Consider the following 9,632-nt stretch of genomic DNA (forward strand, 5'->3'; position numbering starts at 1 on the left):
GAAACAGCTTTCAGAGATGCCTTAACCGTAATTATGCATTTGTATTCTAATTTTTATTTAATGTTATTATTGATTGCATTTTTAAAGATTCTGTATTTTTTAAACCATTTATTTGTATATGTTGGTATACAATCTTGCCATTTTCTGGGATTTCATATTTCCTTATTTTTGTTTTTTACCTTTTTTGGCTTGAATTTTTTGAGTTTTTATGCATTCTTTTCCAGTTTCTTAAGATGCTAATAAGTTCATGTATTTGAGCAATTGAGAACATTTAAAGCAATAGACTGCCTCTGAGCACAGCTTTGTCCATATTACATTAACCTTTTATACCCTGGGTTCCCACTAGTTTTTAAATAATCTACTATCAAATAAAAGATTTGTTAATAATAAATTTTAAATCATTAACACTTAACGCATTATTTTCAGTCACACTAAGTTGATTCCTTCGTTTCTTTCAGGTTGCTTCAGAGTCTTCCCTTCTATCTGATTCAGTGGACCAAGTAAATGACTCTCTGGTAACAGAATTTGTATTACTTGGACTTGCACAATCCTTGGAAATGCAGTTTTTCCTTTTTCTCTTCTTCTCTTTATTCTATGTGGGAATTATCCTGGGAAAACTCTTCATTGTGTTCACAGTGATCTTTGATCCTCACTTACACTCCCCCATGTATATTCTGCTGGCCAACCTATCGCTCATTGACTTGAGCCTTTCATCTACCACAGTTCCTAGGTTGATCTACGATCTTTTTACTGATTGTAAAGTTATTTCCTTCCATAATTGCATGATACAAAAGTTCTTTATCCATGTTATGGGAGGAGTTGAAATGGTGCTGCTGATAGTCATGGCATATGATAGGTACACTGCGATCTGCAAGCCTCTCCACTATCCAACTATTATGAATCCCAAAATGTGCATGTTTTTGGTAGCAGCAGCTTGGGTCATTGGGGTGATTCATGCTATGTCTCAGTTTGTTTTTGTCATAAATTTACCCTTCTGTGGCCCTAATAATGTGGGGAGCTTTTATTGTGATTTTCCTCGGGTTATTAAACTTGCATGCATGGACACTTATGGGCTAGAATTTGTGGTCACTGCCAACAGTGGATTCATATCGATGGGCACCTTCTTTTTCTTAATTGTATCATACATTTTTATTCTGGTCACTGTCCAACGACATTCCTCAAATGATTTATCCAAAGCATTCTTCACTTCGTCGGCTCACATCACCGTAGTGGTTTTGTTTTTTGCTCCATGCATGTTTCTCTACGTGTGGCCTTTCCCTACTAAGTCATTGGATAAATTTTTTGCCATCATGAACTTTGTTGTCACCCCTGTCGTAAATCCTGCCATCTATACTTTAAGGAACAAAGATATGAAGTTTGCAATGAGAAGGCTGAATCAACATATTTTAAATTCTATGGAGACGACATAACACATTTGGTTGATGAGAGCACAGGATAAATGCCATGGACCATCAAGACTCCTGTGATCACCATGATCACTATGGAACGCGCACATTTTTAGTATTGCCTGAAAAAACTGAAAAATCTGCAAAAAGGATGCATTAAATCTAAGAATTGTATTTCAGATAAAGTTGCAACATTTTTTGTTAATCATAAAAAGTATATATTTCTATCTAATGTGTGTATCTAATTAACAGCAATGACTACCTTTAATTTTGATGTAGTTATTTTATATCTGTATATAAGCACATACACATATATATGACCTAGGTTTATTTATCAGTATTTTTATGCTGATAATAAGCATCACTGGAAATTAATTTTCTTATGGAAATTATGTGGATCCAATGGATAAAATATGAGTTTATATAAATTAGTAAATGCCAAAATCAAGGAAGAAACAATTTTTATTTTAATTGTACTTTAAGTTAGATAAATGGTAAGGTCAACAGCTTGTTACAACCCTTAAGTATTATTTTCAGGCTGATTGTCAATATGTTTTGTACAATGTTCTCACTTATAGGTGGGAATTGAACAATGAGAACACATGGACACAGGAAGGGGAACATCACACACCGGGGCCTGTTGTGGGGTGGGGGGAAGGGGGAGGGATAGCATTAGGAGATATAACTAGTGTTAAATGACGAGTTAATGGGTGCAGCACACCCACATGGCACATGTATACATATGTAACTAACCTGCACATTGTGCACATGTACCCTAGAACTTAAAGTATAATAAAAAAAAATAGACTCTAGTACTCTGTATTATGCAAAATTTGTCTATGTTACACTTTTTTAACAACACAATCCTATTGCCCTTGAAATCTTCTTCAAAGCATTTCTCGAGTCACTCTTAAAAAGCATCTACAACCTAAAAGTATAGGAAGAGATTTATTTCCTGGAGAAGAGACCCCATTGAGATCTTAAAAGCACATTTAATGTGCCTGTGCTTAACTTAAGGTGCTTAGGACAAAGAAGGCGATTGACATCTTTCAGGTAAAACCTGGTAAGTTTGGTGGTCAAGGAACACAACTGAGACATCACTTGGATGTATTCCTATGACTATTTTAAGAAACATAAATTGTGGTGACTCACTCAGCTCACTTTTAACTACTGCATGGTAATTAAAGATGCAAAATAAAATAAGTTACAAGAAGTGAGGTTTTTTATTGGTTAAAGCAATTTTTCTATATTTTCTCCGCAAGTTGGTCATAAAAGTTCTAAGCATTCCTCTTTTTATAAAATCGAAGCATTATTACTTACTCTCTTGTTAACCTATCTGGATTTTAATTTTGTAACTTTATTATATTTGTTTTGCTGTGATTCTTTAAAAAGCACCTTTAGACTCAGTGAGATAGCAAAAATATCCAAATAGGCCAAAAAATTGTGGCAATGTCCTCTCACTCAGGAAAATTCTGTGTGTTTTCTCTAATGGCCAAGGGAAAACTTGTGAGACTATAAAAGTTAGTCTCAGTACACAAAGCTCAGACTGGCTATTCCCAGATCTCTTCAGGTACATCTAGTCCATTCATAAAGGGCTTTTAATTAACCAAGTGGTTTACTAAAAAGGACAATTCACTACATATTATTCTCTTACAGTTTTTATGCCTCATTCTGTGAAAATTGCTGTAGTCTCTTCCAGTTATGAAGAAGGTAGGTGGAAACAAAGACAAAACACATATATTAGAAGAATGAATGAAATTGTAGCATTTTATTGACAATGAGATGGTTCTATTAGTAGGAATCTATTCTGCATAATTCCATTTTGTGTTTACCTTCTGGAAAAATGAAAGGATTCTGTATGGTTAACTTAAATACTTAGAGAAATTAATATGAATAATGTTAGCAAGAATAACCCTTGTTATAAGTATTATGCTGGCAACAATTGTCGAGTCCTCCTCCTCACTCTTCTGGGCTAATTTGTTCTTTTCTCCCCATTTAATAGTCCTTTTCCCCATCTTTCCCCAGGTCCGGTGTTTTCTTACCCACCTCCTTCCCTCCTTTTTATAATACCAGTGAAACTTGGTTTGGAGCATTTCTTTCACATAAAGGTACAAATCATACTGCTAGAGTTGTGAGGATTTTTACAGCTTTTGAAAGAATAAACTCATTTTAAAAACAGGAAAGCTAAGGCCCAGAGATTTTTAAATGATATTCCCATGATCACACTGTGAATTTGTGCCAGAACCCAAATGCCTACTCCCATCTCACTGAGACTTACTATAAGGACATAAGGCATTTATATATATATATATTATATATACTATATATTTATATATATTACATATTATATATATAATATATATTATATAATATATATTATATTATATAATATATAATATAAATATAATATAAATTATATTATATAATATATAATATAAATATAATATAAATTATATAAATATAATATATATTTTATTATATAATATAATATATATTATATAAATATAATATATAAATTATATAATATAATATATATTATATAATATAATATATTTTATTATATAAATATATATTATATTATATAATATATATTTTATTATATAATATATATTATATATTTATAGAATATAATATATATTTTATTATATAATATATATTATATAATATATATTATATTTATATATAACATATATTATTATATAAAATATGTATAATATATATTATATAAATATATTTATATATTATATAAATATATATATTATATATAATTCTAATGGTTGAATTCCAAGAATAATCTATGGCATGAAAGATTTTACCTGTCAACAGTGGCTGGCTCTTCATGGTTGCTACAATGAGTGTGTAAGATTCTGAAGGACTCCTTTAATAAGCCTAAACTTAATGTTCAACTTAGAATAAATACAATTCTTCTAATTTTTTTTGAATAATTTTTAAAAAGTCAGAAATGAGCTTTGAAAGAATTATGGTGGTGAAGGATCCCCTCAGCAGCACAAATTCAGGAGAGAGATGTCTTAACTACGTTAGCAAGAAATTCCTTTTGCTAAAGAATAGCATTCCTGAATTCTTACTAACAGCCATGATAGAAAGTCTTTTGCTACAGATGAGAACCCTCGGGTCAACCTCATCCTTGGCATATTTCATGTGAAGATATAACTTCAAGATTGTCCTTGCCTATCAATGAAATGAATTAATTTTATGTCAATGCATATTTAAGGTCTATTCTAAATTGCACACTTTGATTCAAAAGAAACAGTCCAACCAACCAGTCAGGACAGAAATTATCTCACAATAAAAATCCTATCGTTTGTACTGTCAATGATTAGTATGATTATATTTATTACCGTGCTAAGCAGAAGAGAAATGAAGTGAATGTTCATGATTTATTCCACTATTAGACTTCTCTTTATTCTTAAAAATATTTAAGATCACTAAATTTTTATAGGACTTTAAAAACAGTAATGTGCTGCTTTGAGTGTGTAGGACTAAGAAATGGGATTCAGAGTAGTAAAGAGAAAAGTGGAATTTCCAAGCACTATGAATTACTGTTCTTTAAAAAACAGCAAAAATCAAATAACAGTATTCCTCCAAAAAAGATGGCAAGTGTAAACTCTATACCTTCATGTCTCCCGTGGAATGTTAGTGATCAATTTCCACTTCTCTCTTTTACATCTTACTTGCCCATTAACTCTTATACCTAATCCAAAGATTGTTAATATGGCTATGTCTCACTTTCAGGACACCTTTTATTTGTTACTTCTCTTCACTGCAAAACTTCTTGAAACAGTACTTATTTTCTCTCCTCCATACACAATTGAAATGGCTCTCAACTCATGCCCAGAAGTCAGTGTTCAGTCTCTCACCTGGCAGATAGCAACTTACAAAGATGCCCCAACAATACCTCCTTGTGTCTAGACAGTCATCATTATCCTTTACCTTTTTCTGTATTTATTTCTGCTCCTAAAAGGGATCTCTATGTAAAGTATTGTTATACTAGTGCTTGTTATAATTATTATCAGAGTTAAAGCCATCACAATGTTCCCAATTACTTAAAGACATTGGAATAACATTTTTTTTATTTTCCACATCTTGCCAAAAAATATTTTGTTATCAGTACCTTAATAATGGCTATTATATATTGACCATTACTATTTGCTAGAAAATTTATATACCTGGTCGTATCCAATCCTCACAGAACTTCTATAAAGTTGTGCTATTATCACCTATATTTTCCAGATGTGGCCGTAAGACTGAAATCACTTAGGTGACTTGTCTAAGGTCATTCAGATACATAGTAGATAACCCAGGATTTGAACACAGGCCTCCTAGCACACAAGCTCATATCTTAACTACTTTAATACGTTGCTCGATGGGATCTTACAGGTCTTCATTCACCCCTTTCCTGCTCACACAACCACAACCTGCAGCTATTACCTATTGTTAGGCTTAAAATAATTACTTGGCTTCATTTCCAAGCTCCCTCCCTTCCAATTCACATTGAGTCCAGAGCTAAATTAAACAATCATTCAAAATTTTTCAGTAGTTCTTGTCTCTATAATAAAACAGAAATGCTTTAGAAAGCATTCCAAAATCTCTTACCAGTTTTATCTCCTATGAAAGTCCTTCACACTTTCTCTCATTTAAACTTTATTGCATTTTCCTCACTTTTTCTCACTTCACTTTTGAATTCCCTATTCTTTTATCCTCTGTTAATTTTTAAGTATTATATTTGTGATATTATTTTTTCTTTTTTTCTATTTTTTATCTTTCATTTCATTTTGGCCTATTTTTTTCTCTTAAGAACTTTAATATCACCAAATAACATGTGTGCTACAAACTGTTTTGTAGTTCAAAGAAAAAGGAGATAAACATAGAGTTATGGCATAGACTTAATCTGGCAGAGAGACAAGCATAAATAATGGTATTTTATATTAGGAATAAACCTAACATTAATGGAGACACTGAGAAGCCGAGATAACTGAATTATAAGGCATAGCCAGGGAAGTAGTGCGAGATAGAATTATGATCTTGTTGAATTCTGAATGTCTTTAAGTAATAGATTATAGAAAGTCACTGTAAGAGTGAGCAGAATGATATAAAATGAGGCTTTGAATTTGAATATAATAATTCTGACTTCCTTCTCCTTCTCTTCTTCAAGGTAACTGCAGAGGCTATTTCCTGGAATGAATCAACGAGTGAAACGAATAACTCTATGGTGACTGAATTCATTTTTCTGGGTCTCTCTGATTCTCAGGAACTCCAGACCTTCCTATTTATGTTGTTTTTTGTATTCTATGGAGGAATCGTGTTTGGAAACCTTCTTATTGTCATAACAGTGGTATCTGACTCCCACCTTCACTCTCCCATGTACTTCCTGCTAGCCAACCTCTCACTCATTGATCTGTCTCTGTCTTCAGTCACAGCCCCCAAGATGATTACTGACTTTTTCAGCCAGCGCAAAGTCATCTCTTTCAAGGGCTGCCTTGTTCAGATATTTCTCCTTCACTTCTTTGGTGGGAGTGAGATGGTGATCCTCATAGCCATGGGCTTTGACAGATATATAGCAATATGCAAGCCCCTACACTACACTACAATTATGTGTGGCAACGCATGTGTCGGCATTATGGCTGTCACATGGGGAATTGGCTTTCTCCATTCGGTGAGCCAGTTGGCGTTTGCCGTGCACTTACTCTTCTGTGGTCCCAATGAGGTCGATAGTTTTTATTGTGACCTTCCTAGGGTAATCAAACTTGCCTGTACAGATACCTACAGGCTAGATATTATGGTCATTGCTAACAGTGGTGTGCTCACTGTGTGTTCTTTTGTTCTTCTAATCATCTCATACACTATCATCCTAATGACCATCCAGCATCGCCCTTTAGATAAGTCGTCCAAAGCTCTGTCCACTTTGACTGCTCACATTACAGTAGTTCTTTTGTTCTTTGGACCATGTGTCTTTATTTATGCCTGGCCATTCCCCATCAAGTCATTAGATAAATTCCTTGCTGTATTTTATTCTGTGATCACCCCTCTCTTGAACCCAATTATATACACACTGAGGAACAAAGACATGAAGACGGCAATAAGACAGCTGAGAAAATGGGATGCACATTCTAGTGTAAAGTTTTAGATCTTATATAACTGTGAGATTAATCTCAGATAATGACACAAAATATAGTGAAGTTGGTAAGTTATTTAGTAAAGCTCATGAAAATTGTGCCCTCCATTCCCATATAATTTAGTAATTGTCTAGGAACTTCCACATACATTGCCTCAATTTATCTTTCAACAACTTGTGTGTTATATTTTGGAATACAGATACAAAGTTATTATGCTTTCAAAATATTCTTTTGCTAATTCTTAGAACAAAGAAAGGCATAAATATATTAGTATTTGTGTACACCTGTTCCTTCCTGTGTGACCCTAAGTTTAGTAGAAGAAAGGAGAGAAAATATAGCCTAGCTTATAAATTTAAAAAAAAATTTATTTGGTCCATTTTGTGAAAAACATAAAAAAAGAACTGTCACATCTTAATTTAAAAAATATATGCTTAGTGGTAAGGAGATATATGTCAACTTTTAAGAGGTTGAAAAACAAACGCCTCCCATTATAAGTTTATACTTCACCTCCCACCACTATAACAACCCAGAATCCATGAGGGCATTATCAGGAGTGAGTGGAAGAGTAAGTTTGCCAATGTGAAATGTGCCTTCTAGGTCCTAGACGTCTGTGGTATAACTGCTCATAAGCAGTAGAAAGAATTTAGAGGGATCCAGGCTCTCATCACGTTGGCACAAAGTATATTACTTGGATCCATCTATGTCATTTTCCATGGTTAATGTTTAAAAGCACAGGCTTTAAAGTAAAAAACAAAGAGCTGGATTCAACTCTACTGACTCTTATTAATCATGATTTTGGGCACATTACGTAGCTTTCATGAGCTTTAGTTTCTACATTTATAAACAGGAGATTATACCTATTATGCATGGTTATTATGAAGGAAAATGACAAAATAGATATAAATCAAATAGCCCACTTCGAGACATATTAAGCATGAATAAACATTAGATACTATTAAAATCCTATATATTAACAAAGCCAAAAGTTTCAAACTTTACTTTTTCCCAACATTCTTGTGAAATATGACACATCCCAATCTTAACAGATGCTCATTTGGGATACTGTACTTGTGAGTGGAAGTGTGTATATTTGTGTGCAAGTGTGTACTCATATACTTCCACCTTACCACCCTAGAAAGGCATGATGAAAATTTAAGATAGAAGGAAAATATAAATTGAAAAAAAAAAACCTTAACAAATGATTCTGACAAATATCTTCTCTTTCCAGGGAGAATCACTGAGCCAGAATAAAATTGAACACTAAATATTCTAAGAAAAAAGGAATCTAGTTTGTCAAAATGTGACTTGAATTAATAGATAAGGAGAGTCAGATGATAAGAGGGTCAAAATTATGTTTATCTTAGGAAAAGTAGAATAGAAAATTTATAAGCAGATTAAAAACACATAATAAAAGTAGTAAATAATAATGACAGTATCTCAAATCAGTGCAGGGGGGAAAGGCCTACTAATGTGATGGTGGGATAATTGGATAGCAATATGGGAAAAGATATATTTAATTTATTTGCTACACCAAATGCCAGGACAATCTCTAAGTGAATTCAAGACATAACTCTTTTTTCAAAAAAACTATGCAAATATTAAAAGAAAACAAGTTAATGTTTTTATAATCTATGAATATGGTAAAGATGGATAACATTGACTATCAAATTAATTTTTAATGCGTAATAAAACTATGAGAAAATTTAAAAGTGAGAAGAAACTACTTGTAACTCACATAATAGACTAGTACTTCTAACACATAGGGAACTTCTAAAACAAAACCCAAAATATTAATAGGAAAATGGGCAAAACAGTTAAACTTACAGTTCATACATAAGGAGAATCAGTCTTTTTTTTTTTTTTTACAGTTGTAGGCAGAAAACTTTTATTTTTCATTTATTTGTAAAATTTACCCCTAATTTATTCATAATTCATTTAACTGCTAAGGGCATTAATGTGTACAACGCCATGGGAGAAACCAGTATATTCAGAATTTCTCCTGAAATTTGACCAGAAGTTATGGGCATCCCTCCCCTGGGAAGGAGGCAGGCAGAAAAGTTTGGAATCTATGTAGTAAAATATGTTACTCTTT

At 32.7% G+C, this 9,632-nt stretch overlaps 1 protein-coding gene and 1 pseudogene across 1 annotated transcript; both read left to right on the forward strand.

The window, feature by feature from the left end:
• Positions 559–1,428, forward strand: OR4G11P (olfactory receptor family 4 subfamily G member 11 pseudogene; annotated as a pseudogene).
• OR4F5 (olfactory receptor family 4 subfamily F member 5) lies at positions 2,962–9,128 on the forward strand. The gene is made up of 3 exons (NM_001005484.2): positions 2,962–2,976; positions 3,063–3,116; positions 6,580–9,128. Exons 2-3 carry the CDS (start codon positions 3,108–3,110, stop codon positions 7,549–7,551), a joined length of 981 nt encoding a protein of 326 aa, NP_001005484.2. The 5' UTR covers positions 2,962–2,976; positions 3,063–3,107; the 3' UTR covers positions 7,552–9,128.
• The last annotated feature ends 504 nt before the right edge of the window (positions 9,129–9,632 follow it).

The sequence above is a fragment of the Homo sapiens genome, chromosome 1 (genome assembly GCF_000001405.40).
Source record: "Homo sapiens chromosome 1, GRCh38.p14 Primary Assembly".
NCBI classification, from domain to species: Eukaryota; Metazoa; Chordata; class Mammalia; order Primates; family Hominidae; genus Homo; species Homo sapiens.